This window comes from Homo sapiens, chromosome 1 (genome assembly GCF_000001405.40).
Source record: "Homo sapiens chromosome 1, GRCh38.p14 Primary Assembly".
Lineage (NCBI taxonomy): Eukaryota > Metazoa > Chordata > Mammalia > Primates > Hominidae > Homo > Homo sapiens.
In genome coordinates, this window is record NC_000001.11 from 108,754,544 (window position 1) to 108,781,634 (window position 27,091).

At 34.4% G+C, this 27,091-nt stretch overlaps 1 protein-coding gene and 1 pseudogene across 1 annotated transcript in view; one reads left to right on the plus strand and one right to left on the minus strand.

The window, feature by feature from the left end:
- The window catches only part of STXBP3 (syntaxin binding protein 3), a 62,850-nt gene that overhangs the window by 7,870 nt on the left and 27,889 nt on the right, over positions 1-27,091 (plus strand). The window contains exons 4-9 of the mRNA NM_007269.4: positions 2,147-2,223; positions 3,967-4,045; positions 5,442-5,542; positions 18,122-18,276; positions 21,790-21,880; positions 24,743-24,867. Of these exons, the coding sequence (NP_009200.2) occupies positions 2,147-2,223; positions 3,967-4,045; positions 5,442-5,542; positions 18,122-18,276; positions 21,790-21,880; positions 24,743-24,867 (628 nt within the window). The remainder of the gene's footprint in view (positions 1-2,146; positions 2,224-3,966; positions 4,046-5,441; positions 5,543-18,121; positions 18,277-21,789; positions 21,881-24,742; positions 24,868-27,091) is intronic.
- Positions 7,956-13,102, minus strand: NANPP1 (NANP pseudogene 1; annotated as a pseudogene).

Sequence of the window (27,091 nt, forward strand, 5' to 3'; positions counted from 1 at the left end):
AAAGTTCTGTGGAACTGCAGAGCCATTATGCACTGTAGGGAGGTTTTATTGCATTTTGTAGACCATTGTTTCTTACTGTATGCTCACTATTAATAGATATTCTTCAAGGAAGGGATTCCATGGCCAGTACATTTAGGAAACAGTATTAAACAGAGCTCCACAGCTTTCTTTAGGACTTAAGAGTCTTTATATGCCAAGGTATAAGTGGATCCCCTGGGTAAAATGATAGTATTCAGTTTTCTAAACTTATTTGGCCACAGAAAGCTATTTTTGAGAAGCATTTCATAGGACTGTATATCATAGAGCTCGCTGCTGTGGGATACCTTTGATATCCTCCAGAACCACCTAAGTTTGCTATGGTTTAATTGTAGTCATATCTTCTAACTTAAACTCAAAACAGTCCTTTTGAGTTCCACATTAGCTCTCCTGAAAATCCCTCTATGAAACTGGGCACTGGCAGGTTCAGCAGTCAAACTTTCTGTTGTCATTCAGGTCATTCATGAAAATATTTAGTAGTGTCTTGGGATTAAAACAAAATCGGGAAAAAAAATGCTCTGTCAGGATTTGCTACTTGAGTGGAGAATAAAGTCAAGTATAAAACCTTAAAAAAAATAAACTGAAGCTGGGTACAATGACTCATGCCTGTAATCCCAGCACTTCGGGAGGCTGAGGCAGGAAGATCACTTGAACTCAGGAGTTCAAGACCAGCCTGGGCAATATAGTGAGACTTTGTCTCTACTAAAATCCAAAAAAATTAACCAAGCATGGTGGCACATACCTGTAATCCCAGCTACTTGGAGAACTGAGGCAGGAGGATTGCTTGAGCCAGGGAAGTCAAGGCTGCAGTAAACCCTGATTGTGCCACTACACTCCAGCCTGGGTGACAAAATGAGACCTTATTTCAAAAAAATAAATAAAAAGTAAAAAACAGACTGGGAATTAGATTTTTTTTTTCACTATTAAAGACCTTTCTCTTTGTTTTTTTAGTTGTTTGATAGATGTGTATTTTTCAGTGAATGGAGAAGTGGCACTTTCTGTTATTAATAAAGAGATTTCAGAATATTTTCAGAGCCTGAGCCCTAAATCATATTTATCACAGTATTTTCAGTGTTTTAACAAATACATTATTCACCAAACAAAATAATATGTATAGCATGACTGTAAGACACTCCATTTTGAACATTAAACAATTGAAATAAATGAAAACAGATTAAACCTTAATTTTTTCAAGTAAAACTATAATAGTTGAGAATGAAGATAAAAAGATTAAATTTTTCCTTGGAAATATTATTTGATTGTCTAGTAGTAGTTATGATAAACCTATACATTACTAATATACATTTAGGAATGAGAAAAGGAAATCACCATATTTAAAAGAGAAGTCCAGCAGTAACCTCTCTTGCCCGTCACATTAATGTTAATTCTTTCTAGGCCCTTTGTCAACATGAATCTTGAAAGATGGTTCCCTGGATTTGTTGAAGGATACTTTAAATTAGTTTTAAGAAATATATATGTAGCTTTAAATAGTTAATTTGACAAAGTTTATTAACTTTATATTCACTTTGCTTTAGCTAATCTTATAAACTGCTTAATTTCCATAATAAAAAATATAATTGACTAAATTCTAGTGATGTTCTGTTGTTGAAAAAATACTTTATAAATATGTGTGGTTTTGAAAGAATAGGCGTTAATTGGCAATTTATTTAAACAGCATTGTGGCAGGTAAAAACTTGGGCTCTGGAGTCACATCTGGGTTAGAAGCCTGCCTGTTCCACTTCCTAACTGTGTGATTGGATAAGTTACTTCTTTAAGCTTCAGTTTCCTCATTTGTAAAATACTTGCAAGGTTATTATGAATTTTAATGAGTAATTCATGTAAGAAAATGAATTATTAATTTAAGAAATGAATAATTTCTTACATTATTCATGTAAGAAAATGAAGAATTTTTATTTTTCATTTTTCAGGATTTTAAAATGTATCCAGTGAAGACAAAGAAAATGTTAAACCCAGTAAATGTTTTTGTTTTCATATTATTTGTAAATGTATTTTCATATTATTATAAATGGAAAGTACAGTAAAGTTTATTTAAAAATTATTTTAAGTATATAAATATTTGGTTATATAAAATGACCTTTTTTCTTGTTAGTTGTAGAGAATATTTATAAGAACCGTGAACCTGTCAGACAAATGAAAGCTCTTTATTTCATCACTCCGACATCAAAGGTGAGTATTTTGAGACCTTAAAAAGCAGGTTCATCAATATTTCACCATTGTTATGGTTTACTAACAGAAAATTCAAAGTAATAAAGTACACTTTAGTAGAAAAATATTGCCATAAACTAGTTTGCTTAGGAAAGTTTTTTTCTGTGTTAGAAGATTATTTGCATTCTTCCGAATGAGAATGTATAAGTAAAAGGATTCCTTTTTTCCCCATATATGAAAGCAGAATTAAATTGTATAAAATAACATTTCTTTGCATGTTTTGTTTTTCATGCAGTTCCTATTGAACTATACCTTTTGGGGGGATGGTAATGTAGGTAAAAGAAATAATCTATAGTCTTGGATTACTTCTTTATCTCAGTGACTTTCCTGTAGCATATTTGTATGTATATATGAAGATGGGTATATATGTGTGTATGTATATATTTTATGTGAAAGGAAATTCTTTAGTTTATAATCTGACTCTATGACCTAACTCATACTTGATGCCAACCTTTCAGAGCCAAATTATCAGATTTCTTTATTCTGTACAATATCTGAGAATGCATTTTTGAAAACCTGATCTCTCACTTATTCCCATGTAGAACGTTAATTTGGCAATCTCTGTTTCATTTCACTTCTAAAAAACTTTAGCAGACATTTTTAAAAAAACAAAAAGATACACACTTTTTAGTCTCTACATGTTGGCTGCTAGTGGGTTTTAATGACATTTTATATCTTATCTGTAATATAATTCCATAAGAGAAAAATTCATGATTGGAAAAAAAAATGCAACTTAAAAGTACCATTTTTCACCTAGCAAATTGGCAGAGGGATTTAAAATATATATATATGGGTATGTATGTGTGTGTGCATTCTGGCTATTCTGGTTATCAGTGGATAATGGAGCAGAAACTGCCATATACTGCTAGTGGGAGTATAGATTGATACAGCCTTTTTGGAAAATAGTTTGTAATTTGTTATCAAGAACCTTAAAAAATGTTTTATATTTTAGAGTTTATTGTTAGGAAATAAATAAATGGTTTAGCTAAGTTTCTAGTAGTAAATAAATCTAATTAAATTTTAGCATTAATAAATAATAGACCATATGATGATATCTGAATGAAATATATGAATAAAATGATAAATAAATGAAAACCCATGTGGCCATTAAAAATAATTTTTCTAGGGGTTGTTAGTGACCTAGATAAATGTTCATTTTGAATGTTAAGTGACAAAAGCAAGATACAAAATTGTATATTCCTCATTCTTGCAGTCACCTACCAAGCTTTGGATCTTTCTAATCACTTGATAGTTTAAGCTTCTCACTCACTGTGTCTCACTTCAACACTTCTCCAGTCATAAGTCTTGGTGGTTCGTTATCCATGTAGATGATACTTATAGTATGTTGGTTTCTAGTTCCTTAATCTGTTATATTCCAATAGTCTTGTCTTCTATGTTGTTTCAGTTTTCCTAGACCTCTTCATTGCCAATAAGAGCATCCTGTTCATACATATTACCTTACTCTTTTTTTTTTTTTCCAAAACCAAAAATGGTTAATATTACCTTACTCTTTTTACCTTACTACCTTATTAGCTATCACTGGCTGGAGAACATAGCATCTTAAAAAATCAGTTTATAAATTAAACTTTTAGCCAGTAAAGTTTTATTTTGTCACTGAAATAAAATAATCTTAGTCATTTCAAAAGGTAACATATTTAAATTAATATTTAATAAAATGTGTATTAACATCTAACCTTTTTTAAGTCTGTAGATTGTTTCTTACATGATTTTGCAAGTAAATCGGAGAACAAGTATAAAGCAGCATATATTTACTTCACTGACTGTAAGTCTTTTAAAAAGTTATTGCTTCATTGTTCAAAATGCCATTGGTTTTAAACTGTCGACTTTTTAAAAATCAGCCCAAAATGTCATTAAAGTATCTACTTTTTATAATATTATTTCAGTCCTGGTGATTTTCTATTTATCATTTGTTCTAATTAGGCTAGAAAGAATCTAAAAATGTAAGATTATATCTATCCTAATTCATATTAAGGTGATAGAAAATTAAAAGAAACTATTCCCAACTGCTTTCAAAAGACAGTCATTTTGCTGGGATGCTGGGATGTGAGGGATGGGTGGAGAGGGCTAGCCCTCAAATCCTGTGCTGGTGACAGGAAGAAATATTTTTAATCAGCATTTCAGTTAGGGATTTGATTCTCTTGTGAAAAACAAAGACCTTTTGAGAGGGCACTGAAGAAAACAGCCATCTGTTTGGCAAATATAAAGGGAGAAAATCTGTCACATTTATCTTACTCTGCCATATGATCACATAGAAAACTGGTAACTAAAGAATCACAGAGAAGTCCAAAGACACATACAATTCTGTCTTATGTTACATGTTATATAATATACTTCAAAATAAAAATATCATATCTAAGTTAAGTCTTGGTCTCTGCTGTTAGAGATTCCTCACTTTAAGTAAGTAGTATATCATTTTTCCTATAAATTTTTATCTCATGCCTAATAGTTTGCATTTTTAAAAATGTCACACCATAAGTATTTGTAATGTAACCTTATTATACAGAGCATCATGTTTATGGAATTGATGAAATTTAATGAATGTGAACCCTCTTTTAACTTAAGGAATCTTAAGGCTAAAGAATATCATGTTAAAAGATACTAGGAGCCAGTGGTTGATATTCCAACCTAGATCTAGTGGAATGATAAACTCTTTGATGAAAGGGGAAAAACACTGGCTCTGAGTTCCAGAACTTAGTATTATAGAGTCTTAGAATTTTCTAATGTTAGAAAGCTGCCTTTAATTGAAGGAAAAATTAACCATTTGTGTTGTATGATTGTAGTATGGATCACTTAGTGGCAATTTGGAAAAGTAGTATAAATTTCTAAGATGTCCTGAAAGTGCTGCTGTTTGTTAAGTCATAAGTTTGGACTTGATTTTTCTTCCTAACAATTTCAGTTTGCTCTGTTAGCAGATCTTTAAGGAAATACATCTGAGGTTGTGGTGGATGTGAATGGGAAAGATGGAATTTCTGTTATAGTCCTTTTCAGTAGAATATATCTTTTGTAAAGCAAATAACAATATTTATATATTATTTATGTCCTCATAATAACTGTGAAAGCCAGTAATTATGTATAACTATTCTTGGATGTTGGAATGATTTATTTAAAAGGAATAAAATCTAGATGTAACTATATGCTTTGTTTTTTTTTCCCCTCAGTTTGCCCTGATAATCTCTTTAACAAAATTAAGGCTTCTTGCTCCAAGTCAATAAGAAGATGTAAAGAAATAAATATTTCCTTCATTCCACATGAATCTCAGGTACTTTCTATTTTTATTTTTTAGTTCATGAGAGGTTTCAAATTTGGTTTTATGGCTTATTGTTAATAAAGTATATTCTGAAGATATTTTTTATATGTATTTGGTGAATTTTGAACCTAATCCACAAATAGACATTTCCCATGATGAAGTCAGACGCGTGAGCAATAAATTGGAATTAAAAATGAATAGCAGGGCTTAAATTTCATATCTGCCACCAAGTCCTTTGTCAAATTACAGAACTACCAGGTTATGAAATCAAGAGAGTTTTGAGCACAGTCTTTGTTAGATGACTCCAAAAAAAGTGTTTCATTTAGCTTGTGTAACCTTTTGTGATATTAAAACAAATGCTCTTTAATAAACTTTTTATATAATATTATGTAAATTATTTTAATTTATAAAGTGAGGGGATTTTTGACTTGTTTTGCCTTTGGAACATTGAGCCTTCAATTAATAATAGCAATGATTATAATGATATAAGCAAACACTCATATAATACTCCCTATGTGTCATATACTTTCCTGAGTGTTTTACATAAATTTATTCATTTAATCCTCACAATAGCCATAGTAATAGATTGTACTTCTCCATTTTGAAGATCAAGAAATCAAAGAGGTTAAGTACCTTGCCTCAAATCACACAGCTAATGAATTGTTAAGGTTTGTTTTGCTCTGTTCTCTGTGTTTGGATTCTAGCATTTTATAGAATTGAAATAGTTGACTGTTGTTTGGAACTATGATCAATATTTTAAGGGATAGACAAGTCCTAGACAAGGGATTTCTACTATATTACTTTTAAGATACTGCTGGGTTTTTTGTTTTTGTTTTTTTCTTTTTTTGAGACTGAGTTTCGCTTTTGTCACCCAGGCTGGAGTGCAATGGCGCAATCTTGGCTCACTGCAACCTCCATCTCCCAAGTTCAAGCGATTCTCCTGCCTCAGCCTCCCAAGTAGTTGAGATTACAGGCATGCGTCACCACACCTGGCTAATTTTTTTGTATTTTTAGAAGAGATGGGGTTTCTCCATGTTGGTCAGGCTGGTCTCGAACTGCTGACCTCAGGTGATCCAGTATCCTCGGCCTTCCCAAGTGCTGGGATTACGGGTGTGAGCCACCACGCCCAGCTGATACTGCTGTTTTTGACAAAGAAAAATAATAATCCAAATTATAAGATTTTAACATATCTGCTTAACATTAAACTGTTTTCCAAAAGTTTCCTTTAAACTTATTATTTTAATATGTAAGTTTAGTATAGGGTGAAAATGAGCTTCTGAAAATGATGTAGGATTTAAGTGGTAGTGTGAGAAATATTACAAACATTTCTAGAACATCTCGCTTCACAGAAGATAAATATAATTTTAGCCCCAGAATTTATTAAAATTCTGCAGTTGCTGCATTTGAAGGAATGATTTGTGTAGATATCTGAATAATTTGATGGTGAATAGAAATAACCTGTCTTTGCATGTCTAGAGAATGCTCTTGAGAAGTTTCTACTTATCAGTCTTTACAAAATATTGTGATTATGTAAGGTCCCATCTGTGAATGGTTTTCCTATAAGAATTTTTTTCTTTTAATTTACTTACTTGAAAAGAGTCTTAGGAGGGTATACTTGACTGGGCACAGTGGCTTACCCCTGTAATCCCAACACTTTGGGAGGCCGAGGTGGGTGGATTATGAGGTCAGGAGTTCAAGACCAGCCTGGCCAACATAGTAAAACCCCGTCTCTACTAAAAATACAAAAAAATTAGCTGGGCATGGTGATTAGCACCTGTAGTCCCAGCTACTTGGGAGCCTGAGGCAGGAGAATCATTTGAACTGGGGAAGCAAAGGTTGCAGTGAGCCGAGATGGCACCACTGCACTCCAGCCTGGGCAACAGAGCGAGACTCCATCTCCAAAAAAAAAAGAGGTTCTACTTAATAAATCTAACTGTTTTGGAGAAATTACATTGAAAATATTTTGGATTTTTGATTGTTTGCAAGTGAAAATGTAAATGAAATACTACTAGGTGCTTTGAGCTGTGAGCAAAGGCCTACTGAGCATTTATCAAGATTATGTTCAGTGGACGTTGTTTGTTAAATGCAAAGCAGTCTACTGTGAAAAGATGAGCAAGATATATGTCCTACCCTCATTTGAATACTATAAAGAGATTAAAAAGTATTAGACATTTTCAAAAACTGTTTCAATCATGGTTAAATCAAGTAGGACTAGGCTCAACTAATTAAAAGAAAACTCTGGACTTTCAGTGGATTACACAACACGGAAATTTATTTCTTCCTAATACACAAGAAATCAGGAATAGGCTATATAAGGGTGATAATGCTGGCTCTATGAAATTGTCAGGGGTCTAGTCTCCTAGGCATGGCCCTTATGATCTAAGATGATTGTAAATTTTTTTTTTTTACTGTTATATCTTTTTTTTAATTTTAAGGAATGTTATTTTAAAACATTATAAAAATCATAGGCTTATTTCAATATTTTAAAATATCTTCTGTAACATTCCACTCAGAAGGTAGATAACAAAATTCTTCCCATAGGAAGGGTGCCAATGGAATGTGATATTATATTATTCAGTTATTCCATTTTTTCTTCCTACCTCATTTTTGCTGAAGAACTGCTCACTTAATATCCTGGGAGTGATCTTGTTGAAATTTGCCACCATCATGTTGAAGCAATGAACCTTCACCCGTAGTATAATGAATGTGACACTGCTTATATCTATCCTGTAGGACAGCTAAAAGGACAAGACCTCAGCATCACATGCCAACCAGTCTGTTAGAGCAATCACACACATAACTACTTTTGCCAAAATCCTCCAACTTAATTTTTAAATAGCTGAAATATAGTCAAGGCCATATGGGTACTGTACCTGGAACTAGAAACATACCCTTTTCACACACATTCAGTGTTACAGCAACAGCATCCTGGGACAGGTTAGGACACAATCACATTTTTTAAAATCAAGAGTAAGAAGTAAACATAAAAGAATATTTGCACAAGGCACAGAATCCTGTTTCTTGGCAATAGACAGAAAACAACTGGCTAAAGAAATAGGTTTACAGATAGATACAATCTAGAATTTGATTCTTTGAGTATTAAACTTGGAGACATAGCTATATACATTCCAACATACAATCTAATATTTTACATTAGTAGTTTCTTATTCAATATTTAAAAGAAAAACCTACCAAAAACCAACCCAAATTATATTTATTAACCATTGGATAACCCCTTTTATCCTTTATCAGCCACTTTACTCCAGGTTTGATTAGTGTAATCATGAGATTGTCTAGCCTAATGCTCTAGGGAAAATTCTGTGGGTGTAAGATGATGCCTTGCTGTGGAACCATTAATTATTAAGCTCCAAGTGAACTGAAGCAGATATTTATGAAATGATGATATATTTCCAAAAATACGAAAAACAGATAAGGCAGATGGTAACTCTAATAAGAGTCACTGAAGTATTATAATGGCACTCTGGAAATGGCTCATAGCAAAACCCAACTTTTTTTTTTGAGACAGAGTTTCACTCTTGTTACCCAGGCTGGGGTGCAGTGGCGCGATCTCAGCTCACTGCAACCTCCACTTCCCGAGTTCAAGCGATTCTCCTGCCTCAGCCTCCCGAGTAGCTGGGATTACAGGCATGTGCTACCATGCCCAGCTAATTTTGTATTTTTTTTTTTTAGTAGAGATGGGGTTTCTCCATGTTGTTCAGGGTGGTCTTGAACTCCCGACCTCAAGTGATCTGCCCACCTCAGCCTCCCAAAGTGCTGGGATCACAGGCATGAGCCACTGCGTCTGGCCCTAACTTTTTTTGTTAACTTTTAGGTTTGGAGTACATTTGCCAGTTTGTTATAGGTAAACTCATGTCAAGGGGGTTTGTTACACAGATTATTTCATCACCCAGGTACTAAGCCTAGTACCCAATAGTTATTTTTTCTATTCCTTTCCCTCCTCCCACCCTCTACCCTCAAGTAGGCCTAGTGCCTATTGTTCCTCTCTTTGTGACCGTGTATTCTCATCATTTAGCTCCTACTTGTAAGTGAAAACATGTAGTATTTGGTTTTCTGTTCCTGCATTAGTTTGCTAAGGATAATGACCTCTAGCTCCATCCATGTTCCTGCTAAAGACATAATCTCATTCTTTTTTATGGCTGCTTAGTATTCTATGGTACATATATATATAGAGAGAGATACCACATTTTTTTTAATCCAGTCTCCCACTGATGGGCATTTAGGTTGATTCCATGTCTTTGCTATTGTGAATAGTGCTGCAGTGAACATATACGTGCATGTGTCCTTATGATAGACTTATATTCTTTTGGGTATATACCTAGTAATGCGATTGCTGGGGCAAATGGTAGTTCTGTTTTTTAGGTCTTTGAGGAATCACCACACTGTCTTCCACAATGGTTCAACTAATATACATTCCCACCAACGGAATGTGAGCGTTGCCTTTTCCCTGCGGCCTCACCAGCATATGTTATTTTTTGACTTTTTAAAAATAGCCATTCTGACTGGTGTGAGATAGTATCTCATTGTGGTTTTGATTTGCATTTCTTTAATGATCAGTGATTTGAGCCATTTTTCATATGCTTGTGGGTCACCTGTATGTCTTTTGAAAAGTGTTGATATCCTTTGCCCACTTTTTAATGGTTTTTTTTCTTGTAAATTTAAGTTCCTTATAGATGCTGAATATTAGACCTTTGTCAGATGCATAGTTTGCAAATACTTTCTCCCATTGTATAGGTTGTCTGTTTACTCTGTTGATAGTTCCTTTTGTTGCACAGAAGCTCTTCAGTTTAATTAGATTTCATTTGTCGGTTGTTGCTTTTGTTGCAATTGCTTTTGGCGTCTTTGTCTTGAAATCTTTGCCAGTTCCTACGTCCAGAATGGTACTGCCTAGGCTGTCTTCCAGGGTTTTTATAGTTTTGGGTTTTACCTTTAAGTCTTTAATCCATCTCGAGTTGATTTTTGTATATGGTGTATGGAAGGGGTCCAGTTTCAGTCTTCTGCATGTAGCTGGCCAGTTATCCCAGCACCATTTATTGATTAGGGAGTCCTTTCCACATTGTTCTTGTCAGCTTTGTCGAATATCAGATGGTTGTAGGTATGCGGCCTTATATATGGGCTCTCTATTCTGTTTCATTGATCTGAGTGTCTGTTTTTGTACCAGTGTCATGTTGCAAAACCTTCTTTTCTGTTAGGTTCATCACATGGGTGCAACCATTGTCAGTAGAAAACAAACAGGAGCCTCCATGGGTAGGCCCACGCCAAGGGAATTTTCCTCTTATGGATCCACAGAAGAAAAATAATTTTTGGTGCCATGTGGCTTGTCCTTATCTCCAGCAAAACAATCTAGTTCCCTCAACCCCATTGTGTGTCTGGGAAAAGATAGTGAAAATATTTCCATAAGAGGCAAAGACTATAACAAAGCTACAAGCTCACTGTGCAAAGGTGTGAAAATGTCATGGTAAAAAGCACCACATGCTAATTTTTTTTTTTTTTTTTTTTTTGAGACGGAGTCTCATTCCATCATCCAGGCTGGAGTGCAGTGGTGCAATCTCGTTTCACTGCAACCTCCACCAGGTTCAAGCATTTTTCTTGCCTCAGCCTCCAGAGTAGCTGGGATTACAGACACGTACCCCCACGCGGGGCTAATGTTTGTACTTTTAGTAGAAATGAGATTTCACCATGTTGACCAGGCTGGTCTCAAACTCCTGACCTCCCAAAGTGCTGGGATTACAGGTGTGAGCCACTGCTCCCGGCATTTTTTTTTTTTTTTTTTTTTTTTGGAGACAGATTCTCACTCTGTCACCAGGCTGGAGTGCAGTGGTGCGATCTTGGCTCACTTCAGCCTCTGTCTACTGGGCTCAAGCGATTTTCCTGATTCAGCCTCCCGAGTAGCTGGGATTACAGGCATGTGCCACCAAGCCCAGCTGATTTTTTGTATTTTTAGTAGAGACTGGGTTTCACTATGTTGGCCAGGTTAGTCTCAAACTCCTGACCTCAAATGATCTGTCCGCCTTGGCCTACCAAAGTGCTGGGGTTACAGTTACAAGCCACCGTGCCTAGCTGATTTTAATAGCTTTTTTTTAACTGGAGAAATCTATTTGTTATGTACACACCACAGAAAAATTGCCCCCGCCCCTGAAAAAAAAAAGGTCATGCAAGAAAATCAGATTCCTAATATAAAAATGTATATATCTAAAGTAGGCAAAAATATGGTTTATGTTTTAAAAAGAAAATATGTAAAATTTCACTATGAAATGCTTTGATTTGCATGTGACTTAGTACTTATTTCATATTAACCATATCCAGTTGCTATGATAAGTCTCTATGTTTTAGAATAGCTATTCTTTAAAAATATCTATTTTTAAGCCAGAACATATACGTTACATTTGTGCATCCGTGTGTAAGCTATCCTGCTTGGTATGGAATCAAGATACTAAAAGATTAATAAAAGAAGTTTTAAAATCTTCAGTCACAGACTAGCAAAGAATATATTTCTTCAAGTTTTCTGGGCCACACTGCTGACTTAATATTAATGCAATCTGAATTTTCAGATGTAAATACCAGTGAGAGGTTGGTTGTCAAAACTTAAAAGCAGTTGAGTTGGGAGGACCTTCACAATATCGGCTCTTAAATCATAAGTAAAATTATTCTTAGAACTGGACCATAGTAAGCAGAAAGCCTTAAGTTTTCTTAGCTCAAACCCTCCAAATTGACTCTTAACATTCATAATCATGCCCTTTTAGTTGCTTTAAGAGGGCATACTGACTTTGTGGTCTATACTTTGTAAGAGAGCAGGTAACTCTAGCACAAAAGAAACTGTAATATGGAACTGGGGAGGACTTCAGTGGCACTATTCCAATTTTATTGATCCATACTGTTGCTTTCAACCCTGCTTTGAGACCCCCTTGTGTGTCACTTTCTAACATGTCACCAACCATCACACAGTCCACAGGTTGTACTCCAAGGAGATTGCAGCATTAATAAAATATGGAAGGTGCTGGCTTCTCCTCCCTCTGCTGTTCACCTACAACAACTTGGACATAGGACTGACAGACACAAGCCTCATCTTCTCCCTCTGGGTCTGTCTGACCCCATTCATTACTAAAAGTAGGCAGACCTCCTTTCTGATTTCAATGAGCATAGCTTTGACATCTCACTGACCTTAGTGTCATGTGCTGTAAATGTGTGGTTTTCCAAAGGAGGTAACGTTCTTCAGCCAGTTTCCTATTGGCTACACCATGTTTTGTTTCCTGGATTGCTTCCTCCCATTGTGAAGTCCTTAGATCAGTAATGCATGTATTGTAATGGTGAAAACATTCCTTCTTGAGTTTAACTTGAGCTTTATCACAGGTGAATTCAGCCTCCTGTTTATACTGGTATTTTGATTGTAAGAGCTTTATTGCCTCCAACATGCCTCTCCTGCTTGTCACACCTGTGTTGATGAGTGTGTTGTCCAGGTCAAAGAAAATGGCCTGCACGTGGCTCAGCCCCATAGCACCTGTGCCTTGCTGCAACCTGCCACGTCGCTGCCTGCACATGCGCAAGGTGGGCGGCCCAATTTTGTTTTTTTCTTTGAGAGAGGGTCTCGCTCAAACAGTCCTCCCGCCTCAGCCTCCCAAGTAGCTGGGACCACAGATGCATGCCAGCACGCCCAGCTAATTTTTTCTTCATTTATAGCAGAGATGAGGTCTTGCTATGTTGCCCAGGATGATCTAGAACTCCTGAGCTCAAGCAATCCTCCTACCTCAGCCTCCCAAAGTGCTGGGACAGGCATGAGCCACCACTCCCAGCCATACTGTAGAATTATTACATCATCATTTGAGGATATACAAAAGAATGAGAGAATAATTTTCGTTTTTATCTCATTAGCTAAAATTGAGTCACATGGCTACACATAAGTGCATGGGAAACTGAGAAAATTTTTTAGCTGGGCATATATGGCTGTTCTTCACAAAGAACTGAAGTGCAGTTACTGAAAAGGGGAGGATGTTTGTTGGAGAAGCATCTTGTAGTCGGCCACAAAAGGAGGGAGATTCTCTTTTTAAATATTTATTTATTTGACACATTGTAATTGTACCTATTTATGGGATACAATTTGATGTTTTGATACATATCTGTGTTGTATAATGATACAAGGAATGTATCCATCATTTCATGCATTTAGGAGCCAGGTTTTGTTAGGTTTTGTTTGTATTTTTAGTAGAGATGGGGTTGCCCAGGCTGGTCTCGAACTCCCGGGTTCAAGCAATCTGCCTGCCTCGGCTTCCCAAAGTGCTGGGATTACAGGAATGAGCCACTGCACCAGCATTGAGAGAGGCTAATTCTTACTGGGAGATTGGGAAAATATTTGAAGAATGGATGTATTTTTATAAGGTAGTAATGAAGAGGGAAAGAACCTAGGAGGTAAAAATAATCTAGATGTAAAGATACAGAATCAGAAGAGTGCAGGAGAACAGCAGGAATGTGGCTTATAAGAGGTGAAGGAATGAAAGATAGGCTCTCTGTAGGTAGGTTGGGGCTATTGTACGTAGGAGGCTCCTGGTTCTACCAAAAATAATGACAGAAAATTAGCTGGTGCAGAAAACTGTGGAACTGGTCGTAAAGTCCTTAATGAAAAGTAGAATCCTAGAAGTCAGGAGATCATTGCAGAGAGATTGGTAAAGTCAGATATGATAGTGCTTCAAAGAAATAAAGTTGGACATCAGCACATTTAGAAATTACATGGAGAGGAAGAAGATTAACTCACTCATGGTGATTCCATGAGTCAAAGGGATTAAAGAAAGATCTTTCTTTCCCTTTCAGAGGATTTAAGGTAAGTGATGCTGTCACATATATAATAAGGCAAGTAGAGTTGATCCTTGAATAACATAGGGGTTAGGGGCACCAACCCCCTGTGCAGTTGAAAAATTTGTGTATAATTTTAAACTCGCCAAAAACTTAACTACCAATAGCCTGCTGTTGAGTGGAAGCCTTCCTGATAACATAAACAATAGAATAACACATATTTTAATATTGTTTTTACTATATTCTAACAAAGTAAGCTAGAGAAAAGAAAATGTTATTAAGAAAACCAAAAGGAAGAGAAAATATACTTACTATTAAATAGAAGTGGATTATTATGAAGGTCTTCATTCTTGTCATTGTCAAGTTGAGTAGGCAGAGGTGGAGGAAGCGGAGGGATTGATCTTGCTGTCTCATGGGGTGGCAGAGGCAGAGGAGGTGGCAGGGGAGGCAGGCACACTCTTTGTAACTTTTATTGAAAAAAATCTGCATATAAGTGGACCTGTGTACTTCAAGCCCTTGTTGTTCAAGGGTCAGACAAACATAGAAAGCATTCAAGAATATGAGGGAGTTTGTTTACAGTGAACCTTAGTGAGTACAGAGAGTCTGGTACAGTTAGTAGAGAGGATACTAGAAGGGATCTGGTAGAGATAGAAACAAGCTAGCTATAGATTAGCATGAAGAGTAGATGGAAGACAGGATCTGTATTTAAGGAGCTGATTATAGGTTTATAAAGATGAAAAAAGCATGTGGCAGTAGTCTTAAAAAACTTTTAATGATGGTGATGGAAAGTGGGGAGGAGATAGAGGAAGAGGGAAATGGAGGAAATGTGAGTATAGAATGAGAACCAGCACCCAGATTATCTTTGGTACATTGGGGTATTAGATAGCTTAGATTAATTTGTGGTAGGAACCCCCCAGATCTCAGTGCATTACTACAACAAAGGTTTATTTCTCATTTGTGTTGTCCATTGTTGTTTGGCTGGGGCTTTGCTCTACATCCTCTACCTTCTAGTACTGAGGCCGAAGGGCTAGTCTGGGACATAGCCGAGGGAAAAGAGAAAATAGTGGAGCCACACAATAGCTTTTAAAGCTTCTGCTGGGAAGTGGCACGTGTATCTTCTACATACATTCCAGGCTGAGCACGGTGGCTCACATCTGTAATCCCAGGACTTTAGGAGGCCAAGGCGGAAGGATTGCTTGAGCCCAGGAGTACTAGACCAGCCTGGGCAACAAAGTGAGACCTTGTCTCTACAAAGAAACTTAAAAAAGGAATTAGCCAGGTGTGGTGGCACATACCTGTGGTCCTAGCTACGTGGGAGGCTGAAATTGAGGATCGCTTGAGCCCAGGACCTCAAGGCTTCAGTCAGCCATAACCATGCCACTGCACTCCAGCCTGGGTGACAGAGTGAGTCCCCATCTTAAAAAACAAAGACAAAAACAAACCTACACATGACCATGGCTAAACCTGGTATCAGTGAGTGGGAGGGAGAAGCCTTGGGCGGCCGTGCGATAAATGTTTTTAATCGAATAATGTTATCTCCTGCTGTGGGATATTATACTATGAGGAAGCCACAGTTCAAGTGTAGGGTGCTTGTTGACAATTAATACAGCATCCTAGCCTTTTGAGCAGGAAAGAGATAAGTGGATGAGCCACAGCTAAATTTTCATCTATGTTCAGGCTGCTGCTGTTGGTGCTGGGTTATGTCCAGAGAAATGAATAACTGTGTGTAAAAGGAAATGCGAGAAGTTTGTTCATAATTCATTACTTAACCTATAATGTTTATTACTTGCCTACTTTCACTTACAATAAATTTTCATAGTTTAAGAGAAATTATCATTGTTTAGAAAACAACAAAATTTAGTTTAACGGGGAACTCTCAATACCATTTAGGGAGCTCCTGGCTTTTGTATCCTCCAAATCCTCTAACCCAGTTCTTTGTACATAAGTAAATTATTTTGTTAATTGAATGAATGAATGTATCTGTGAGGTTTTGCTGTACATACGTACAGTAAGATTTATATTATGTCTAGCACAATGCCATGTCTTTTGGGGAAATATGTCTCTTATTTTAAGGACATGAAGAGTATAAGCTAAAGAACGGAAGACATGTATCAACTATGGGAGATTTTTGGGTTACTCTCTAATGGGTTAAGGTTTATAATTTATGTCTGAGATATAGGCCGATTTTGGTAATGTTGTGTTTCTCTGTGCTAGGAGTTAGATTTTTATTTTAGTCTATCTCAGATTCCTTCATCTGTTGCACTGGTAGTAAAAAGCAGATAGTACAATCTGTGTATGAAACAAGAATTGAAGGAGAGAGGTAGACTAAAGCAGGAGAGGAGAGCGAGAAAAGAAATAAAGGATGAAATCAGGATGACAGAGAAAATGAGATTTGATTAAGGTAAAGACACAGTTGTTTCAGGAAACAGCATGGTTAGTGCAAGTATTTTTTTAACTGCCCCAAATAGTTGCTGCATTTTCTTGATATATATCTATATATATATAATATATAAATATATATGATATATATCTATATATATAATATATAAATATATATGATATATATCTATATATATCATATATAAATATATATGATATATATCTATATATATCATATATAAATATATATGATATATAAATATATATGATATATATCTATATATATCATATATAAATATATATGATATATAAATATATATGATATATATCTATATATATCATATATAAATATATATGATATATATCTATATATCATATATAAATATATATGATATATATCTATATATATCATATATAAATATATATGATATCTATCTATATATATCATATATAAATATATATGATATCTATCTATATATATCATATATAAATATATATGATATCTATCTATATATCATATATAAATATATGATATCTATCTATATATATCATATATAAATATATGATATCTATCTATATATCATATATAAATACATATGATATCTATCTATATATCATATATAAATACATATGATATCTATCTATATATCATATATAAATACATATGATATCTATCTGTATCATATATAAATACATATGATATCTGTATCATATATAAATACATATGATATCTGTATCATATATAAATACATATGATATCTGTATCATATATAAATACATATGATATCTATATATCATATATAAATACATATGATATCTATCTATATATCATATATAAATACATATGATATCTATCTATATATCATATATAAATACATATGATATCTATCTATATATCATATATAAATACATATGATATCTATCTATATATCATATATAAATACATGATATCTATCTGTATCATATATAAATACATGATATCTATCTGTATCATATATAAATACATATGATATCTATCTGTATCATATATAAATACATATGATATCTGTATCATATATAAATACATATGATATCTGTATCATATATAAATACATATGATATCTGTATCATATATAAATACATATGATATCTGTATATATAAATACATATGATATCTATCTGTATATATAAATACATATGATATCTATCTGTATAATATATAAATACATATATCTATCTGTATAATATATAAATACATGATATCTATCTATATATAATATATAAATACATATGATATATATCTATATAATATATAAATACATATGATATATATCTATATAATATATACATTATATATAACATAAATATAAATATATATTTTTTTTAAATCAGGTCTCCAGATTAACAGTGAGTTTTTTTGTCTTAACTTAGGTGTATACTCTTGATGTACCAGATGCATTCTATTACTGTTATAGTCCAGACCCTGGTAATGCAAAGGGAAAAGATGCCATTATGGAAACAATGGCTGACCAGATAGTTACAGTGTGTGCCACCTTGGATGAAAATCCCGGAGTAAGATATAAAAGGTAAGACACTGAGCATCTGCACATGTTATGCTTCCTATTTACCATTCATTATAGAGGTAAGTAATGTGTCTGTACCTTGGCATGTTGGTTTGCAAAATTTATTTTCTTTGTATGATTACCATGCTCTACATATAGGAGATTTAAAGCTTGTGGTTTAAATTTCAGACTAGCAAATAGCTTCTGTTACTGAATTTCGGAGCCTAAATTTGGTACAATTTACGGACGGTTTTTCATCAGTTTAAAGAACGCTTAGAGGAAATGTCTTTATAGTCACATAGGGAATACAGTGTTACAGTTAATGTTTTTCATTAAATCACCAACAAATTTAAATGACCATATTCTCTGGATACCTGTTACAATGTCAAAGTATCTATAGTATCTAATCTGCCTATTCTAAATAAATTTTGGGGTTTTCTTAAGGGGTAAAATTTAACTTTAGTACAATATACCTTGACTTATATACTTCTTTTTAAAAATGAAGTTTACTATAAAGTGCCTAAATTGTCTATACAGTAAGTCCTCACTTAAAATGTTGTTGATAGGTTCTTGTTAACTGACAAAACCAATTTTACCATAGGCTAATTGATATAAACAAGAATTAAGTTCCTTGGTTATGTAATGTCACCAAACTTCTACATAAAGACCTGAAACACTTCGAATATTAAACATTGAAAGAAATGTGACTATATGTACATTTAAGAAAGATTAATAAAAACAGGATCATTTTTTTGCCCAGTTATTCTAGTTCAGGCTCATTAGAAGGATGGCCAGAGCTCATCCCAGCAGCTCATGGCACAAGGCAGGAACCCACCCAGATTATAGGATACCATCCCATTGCAGGGCACACTACACACACATCCACACTCACTCGACTGGGACAATTTAGACATGCCAGTTAACCAAACATGCTGCACATCTTTGGGATGTGGGAGGAAACCAGAGTACCAGGAGAAAACCCATGCAGACGTGGAGGGATCATGCAAACGCCACACAGACAGTGGCCTCAGCCAGGAATCTTTTTTTTTTCCTCTGCATTATATCGAGATGACGAACAAAATGACATTATTTGAGGACGTGCTAGATATGGCATGTTAATTCATTCCAAAATGAACATATCCATCTAACCCTACCAAGGTCAAAAAAATAGAACATTAACAGCATCTCAGAGGCCTCTCTTGTGATCCCTCCCAGCTCTCCCGTCCCTTTTCTTCCCTAGAGATGACTACCATCTGACTTTTAACACATAGTTAAATTTTGCTTGATTTTGAGCTGGTATAAATGGAACCACATGATATTTTTTGTTTTTGACTTCTTTGCACAACATTATTTTCTGAGAGTCATCCATGTTTGTTGTGTGTGCCAGGCAGTTTTAGTTTTAATTTTGGTCTGCTAGTTCATGTGTGACCCTCTCGCCTCAGTTTCCTTATCTATGAAATAAGAATGATAATAATACCTACCATATACAGTTGTTTTTAGAATTAAATGAATTAATATCTGTAAAGCATTCAGCACTAATAAATATGGTAGTAAATATATTGCACTACTCGTAATAAGTATTACTCATTTGTCTTTTAAAAAGTCCTTTAATTTGAACATTGGCATTTGTCAAGTTAGCTGGCTGAACTGTTTAATTTTAAATTCATGTAGTACTTTAAGTCACATTACTCTTCACTTACCATTTAAAAATTCCACTATTAGTACTTAGAAAAAGTATAGTGATCTCCTTGGAGATTAAGTTATCTCCTTAATTCAGGTATTACCAGACAAGCTCTTTATTCATACCTTGGGTATTAGAAACATTCTTTTTCTCTCTTTCTTTCCTTTTTTTTTTTTTTTTTTTTTGAGATGGGGGTCTCTATGTGTTGCCCAGGCTGGTCTCAAACTCCTGGGCTCAAGCAATCCACCTGCCTCTGCCTCCCAAAGTGCTGGGATTATCTTTTTCTTGTCAGAGATGTGCTAATTACATTCTGGACTCAGTGGAGCTAAGTGGTTTGGCTCCTGTTAAGGGTTTAGTAACTGTTGAAGCTTCTACTGTTGGTGATTGGTTACGTTCAGGGAAATGAGTAAATATAGCCAATTTATAATTTTATCACTCACATAAGGGCTAGTTTTGAGTTATGCTAATAAATAATCTGTAATCCTGTCTTTTAAAATTCTACCTGTTTCCACAAAATATTCCTTTACGCTTTATAAAGTATAATTTAAAAATGAAGTTTCTTTCTTTTGAAAATATAGTACAAAGAGTTTAATTTATTGTACAATTAATTTATTGTACAATTTATTGTACAGAGTTTAATTATTGTACAAAGAGTTGAATTACCCTTTATAGATGTTACATTATTTATTTTTAAGGTATACAACCTAAAGATTCTGTAAAACTTTGAAGCCCTCACAATGAGACCTCCCATTTTTGAGGTTGTTATGCTGGTGAAGAGCCTTTTTCTTTCTCTCTCTCTTTTTTCTTAAATAATTTTTGTGGATACATAGTAGGTGTATATATTTATGGGGTACGTGACACATTTTGATACAGACATACAATGCATAATAGTCACATCAGGGTAAACGGGATATCTATCACCTCAAGCATTTATCCTTTCTTTGTGATAAAAACAATCCAATTATACTCTTAGTTATTTTTAAATATACTGTAGTCACCCTGTTGTGCTATCAAATACTAGATCTTACTCATTCTACCTATATTTTTGTACCCATTACCCATCCCCACTAAACAGTCACCCACCACTCCTGCCCCTTTCCAGCCTCTGGTAACCATCTTTCTACTTTCTGCATGAGAATTGTTTTCATTTTTAGCTCCCGGAAGCAAGTGAGAACATGCGAAATGTTCTTTCAGTGCCTGGCTTATTTCGCTTAACATGGTGACCGCCAGTTCCATCCATGTTGTTGTAAATGTCAAGATCCATTCTTTTTTATGGCTGAAACATTTGTTTCAGTATTTGTAATAGTGTAATAAGAATGACTCATATGTCCATCTTTAGAGGAATCGATACATAGAATCCAATATAATCATGATGGAATACTGTATAGGAGATAAAATGAATAAATCCGATATGTGTGTCAATGTCAATGTAGATAAATCTCAAACACACACACACACACACACACACACACACACATACATATGAAACAGAAATGACTGGAGGGAGAATACACATGAAATTAATTATAATGGTTGCCTTGGTTTGAGGCAGGGGTATGGGAGAGGACCAGGACTTAGGAGTGGAATAAAAGGAACTGCAACTTTACATGTAATATTTTATTTCCTTTATATTAAAAAATCTGAAGCAGATATGATAAGGTTTTTCCTTGTAAATTCCAAATATATCGATATAAGATTATTTGATACATTATCTGAACTTTTACATGTTTATAAAATAATTTTTCATTTTGTAAACATTTTTTAAATTTCAGTTTAATTTTAGAATTAAACTTCATGATATTATAAAGTATACACTGAAAGAAAGATAATTGTTTGATCCTTTTTTCCATTTCTAGTAAACCTCTAGATAATGCCAGTAAGCTTGCACAGCTTGTTGAAAAAAAGCTTGAAGACTACTACAAGATTGATGAAAAGAGCCTAATAAAGGTAATGTATGCAAGGCAAGTAATGACTATGCATAAAGTCTGTCTTATTTCTTTATAAGCCAAAGAAACTTGCTCATTCATTTTCTAGTATTGATTTGGGAGTCATTAACATAGATCTCCAATACTGATTTGAGAATCATTAACATACACAATCGTGCAAACCTTAATAGATGGTATGGTTTAGAGGGGGATCTATTAACTAACAGATTTTGAAGTCAGCACTGTGTCCAAATCTAGTTCTGCCGTTTAATTCATAGTTAATGTCTATTTGGGCAAATTATGTAACTTCTATGTAACTACATTTTCTTTTCTATAAAATGGGGATAATAAAAGAATACCTATTTTAAAAGTTATGATTAAATGAGTTAATACATGGAAAGTCCTTAGAATAATGCTTGCCAATGTGTAAACATTTAATAAATGTAGGAATTCCTATTATCACTAGTTCTGTGACCTTGAGTTTTCCATCTGTGAAATAGATGAAATAATATATACCTTGCTAGGCGGTATGAGGATTAAGTTAGCATGTAAGTATTTGGCACCAATGTGAATTTAATAAATGGCAGCCATTGTTATCCTATGGAAATAATATAATCAAAGACTAAGGTTGAAATCTGGGAAATACCAGCATTTACATGTGGGTGAGAGAATGAAGAGCTTGAGGAGACTGACAGAGGTGGTGCCAGAGGCCTAGGAAGCCATATTACAGTAGCTGGAGAATGAAGAAAAGGAACTGTTGCTAGTTTAGAAGAGGAGTTGTGCCAGGAAACCACCAATTACAATACTGTGTAATAAGTGGAATGAGAGAAGAATATACAGAGTATAATGGGAATATAGTCCCGGGCTTATCTTCTAAACTGGAGTGTTGGAAGGCATCCCAAGAAGAAGAGGCCCTTTAGCTTGAAGAATGAAGTAACATGATAAAGAGGGAGTTCATTGCATGGAAAACAGGATTCTTCAGGTAGAGGCAATAGAGAAAAAGGCAAAATCCACAATTAAACAGTGTGGCTGGAATGGAAGATATAAACTTAGATGTTAGGTTAGTTACCTTAAAAGTAACCTGTTTTTGGTTTAGAGGCCTGGTGAAGGCTGTTATTCTGGTTGTAGTTTTGAAGACAGAATGGCTTAGTACACATCGTAGATAGTGAATAAATGTTTGTTGAATGAAGAGATATACAATCAAATATGCTTTTAGTCCTTCATGTTTTCAGTGGAAAAAGAGCAAAATCCACAAAAATTAAACTTGTCCTTTCCACTCTTTCTGCCTGGAAAATTAATCATCCTTCAAATACTTGATACCTTTCCTTTATTCAGGGACACCTGATAAAGTGATAAAGTGTCACCTTATTTTTGAAGCCTTCCTTGACTCTTCAGGCCAAGTGTTGCTTCCTCCCACATGCTATCATAAGCCCTAAGCCTGCTATAGAATTTATATTGCACTTTTTCCTGTTTATATTTCTGAAGATTCATAGCTCATATTTTTGAGGGCTTACTGTGCTGTGTTTCATAGTATGATTATGTTTAACCTTTTCAGTCATCTTATAAGGCAAAGATTCCATAATTGTGGTTCATTTTACAAAGAGAATACTGCCATGTAAACAGGATAAGCATTTTGTCCAAACTTGTACTGCAAGATGTGGTCAAGGCTGGACTCAGATTCAGACCTAGCTGATTTCCAAGGCTGTGCTCTGAACCACCATATCATACTGTCTCAAAATTTAATTAAATTAATGTGCTTAATTTTAAAATATTTTAAAAATCTAGCCTATAAAATTTACTTGTTATATGTAAATAAATAGAAAATGTTTGTATAATGATCTGTAGTTATCTGTTATTGCTTTGAATACTAATCCAAAGAATTTATTACTTTTTAAAATGAAATATGAAAGATACTGACATTAACAATAAATGTTTCCAGCACTGTTATTCACTGTTTAGTGATTAGTGATGTTTGCGAATTAATGATAACAAGGCTTTCATTGTGATTTATCATCTTAGTTGGTATCAGTACAGTCTTTTAAAATAGCATAATGGATAAGAGCACAGATGTTGGAGCAAACCTGCATTTGAATCTCCATTCTGCCTCTTACTACCTGTGTGATTTGGGCAAGTTAGTTCATTTCAGACCGCAATGCCCTCATGGTCAACTGGAGATAATAATGCCTGTCTCACAGGATTACTAAAAGAATTAAATGAAATAGTCCATGTATTTTTGTTTAGTAAAATGTCTAATATTTAGAGCTCAAATAGTAGCTACTATTCATAATTTAAGTTTTAGTGCTTTTGGAACTCAATTCATAAGAAAATAGATATAGTGCAAACAAAATGTTACTTTTTTAAAAGGAATTTTCAAGCTATTATACAGTTGTCCCTTGGTAAACACAGAGGAGGGTTGGTTCCAGGACCTCCTGTGTATACCAAAATCCACACATACTCAAGTCCTGCATCAGCCCAACAGAACCTACATATCTGGAAAGTCAGCCCTTCATACACGCAGGTTTCACATCCTGCAAATACTGTATTTTCTATCTGTTATTTAGTTGAAAAAACTCTGAGTATAAGTGCATCCATGCAGTTCAAACCCAAGTTATTAAATATACCCTCTTACTCTAATTACAAAAGTAATTAGATTTTAGTTATATAGTCTTCATTTTTCCTCTCTTGGGCTACTCAGATTTTTCTTTGTTTTATTATAACTTCACATTCTTAAGACAATTAACCATTTGTTTTGTTCTGTTGTATGTTTTTGGTGGGGAAAAGGGACAGAACTTAGGAAAAGGGTGCTTTGTATTCTAAGATATTAAAACTATGTTCACACTAAGAAATTGAAGCTGCTTAAGATGATTTTATCTTGTTATTCTAGGGTAAAACTCATTCACAGCTCTTAATAATTGATCGTGGCTTTGATCCTGTGTCCACTGTCCTGCATGAACTGACCTTTCAGGCAATGGCATATGATCTACTACCAATTGAGAATGATACATACAAGCAAGTATAACTTGAAGGGCATATAAAGGGCATATACAAACAGGATAGAATATGAGCATTTAATGATTTATATAGGCACCAGAAATCTGAAAGCCCCTATAACCTTTTCTATTCAGAGACTTTATCCTTCTCTTATTCCTACAGTTATAGTCTTTGACAGATAATGTTGACCTTGTAAATTAAAGTGTAATTTGATTGCTTTGGAGCATTTTTGGTGTGTTTGCTTCCTTAACTGTGTGTACAGTAGAGCTACATTTAAACACAGGGAATTTGGCCCTTTTGCTTTTAAAAGTAAATACCAGGCTCACTATCATTGAAGGAGAAACCATATTCAAAATTGTTAGGCTATAATTGTTCTGAATCATACATTCAAAAGTGTATGTGTCTTATCAACATAAAGTATTTTAAAAGATTGGAACACTAGAAAACTAAATAGGATGGCTATTGAGGACAACAGGCATAGTTTTACCATTTTGGTACCTTCTACTGAGTTAATCTTGGTATAAACATATTTACTTTAAAAGTAATGTCAAATAAAAACCTAAATGAAAAATGAAATAGTTTTCTATCAAGGAATCATCTTACTGTATCTCTGTATCATTTATGGTGTATGTGTTACATACATTACAAATGTTATTTGATGTCATGATTTCTGAATCCAAACTGGTATTTGTCAGCTAAGATTTACTGCTTGAGTACAGTAATAAAAATGAAAATAGTTTTCTGAAATTTTATGTTTAAACTAATTTGTTAGTTTTAAGATACAGACACTTGTGATAGTTATGATACTGTTTTTTTTCTTAAATATTGTTAAAATTTGTATTTTCTATTGTATTTTTATTTGCATTCTGGTCAAATCTTGGTTTCTGAGTTTTTCTCTGTATTATCTGTATTAATGTTAGATAACATAGCTATTTTTCTAATATAAAAGTTATTTTAAGCAGTTTATTCAGAGGGGATATTATTTACCTCTGTTACCCTGTAGGTCTCTAAACTTTTAAGTAGACTTATTTTTTAAAAAGCTACTATACTCCCTTCTTTCTGAATCAAAAACATTCAGAGATAAGAATTAGATGGAAGTAAAGCTCCCTGTGGTTTGTGCTCCATCACAATTTTTTTTTTTTTTTTTTTTTTTTTTAGTAGAGGCAGGGTTTCCCCATGTTGGCCAGGCTAGTCTTGAACTCCTGACCTCAGGTGATCCCCCTGCCTCGGCCTCCCAAAGTGCTGGGATTGCAGGGGTGAGCCACCACGCCCAGCCTTCATCACAGTTTTTTATGGAAACAGAATACAAAGCAGCAGGAAGCTCTAAGTGTCCAGATTCAAGTTTTCATGTTGGTGCCTTCTTTAAATTTACTTTTTTTTTTTTTTCTTTTTTTGAGACAGAGTCTTACTCTGTCACCCAGGCTGGAGTGCAGTGGCGCGATCTCTGCTCATTGCAGCCTTCGTCCCCTGAGTTCAAATGATTCCCAGCCTCAGCCTCCCAAGTAACTGGGACTACAAGTGTGCACCACTGCGCCTGGCTCATTTTTGTGTTTTTAGTAGAAATGGGGTTTTGCTGTGTTGGCCAGGCTGGTCTCGAACTCCTGGCCTCACATGATCCACCCACCTCGGCCTCCCAACTAAATTTACTTTTAAAATGGGATATTCATCACCTGAGTATTGTCAGGCTTGTTACTCTTATCTCTGTTTACAGATCACTTATAAGTCAAAGGTATTGTGTAAGAACAAAGTGGTATTTTAAATGACAAAAGGGCTTTCATCCTTAGTGCAGCCTTATATAATTGAGCACAGTGATTCTGTCTTTGGTCATCTGTAATCCACACAGGTGGATGGTTTTATAGATTGATGTGTAATTTGTGGGGGTTATAGAAACGATTATATTCATATAGCAAAGTCTATATGTATTATTTGTAGTTCAGAGCTAGGAAAACTCAATGCAGTCCTTCCTGATCTTGACTCAGGAAATCAGTAGTTCCAAGGATGATTCAGTCTTGTCTAGTTCCACAAATGGAAGGAGGGTGTCTGCATAAAAAGATAAGGGGAATCAGTCAGGAAGCCCATTTTGAATAGCTTCATGAATCCCTTAAATTGTTGCTCACTTCAGCAGAACTCATTAAAGCTATCACAATTTTTATGGCTTACATTAATTTTTTTTAATCTCATTTTCTTTCTCATTCTGTAAAGGAGATGTGGTTATAGGGTTGGGGGAGAATAAAGAAACAGA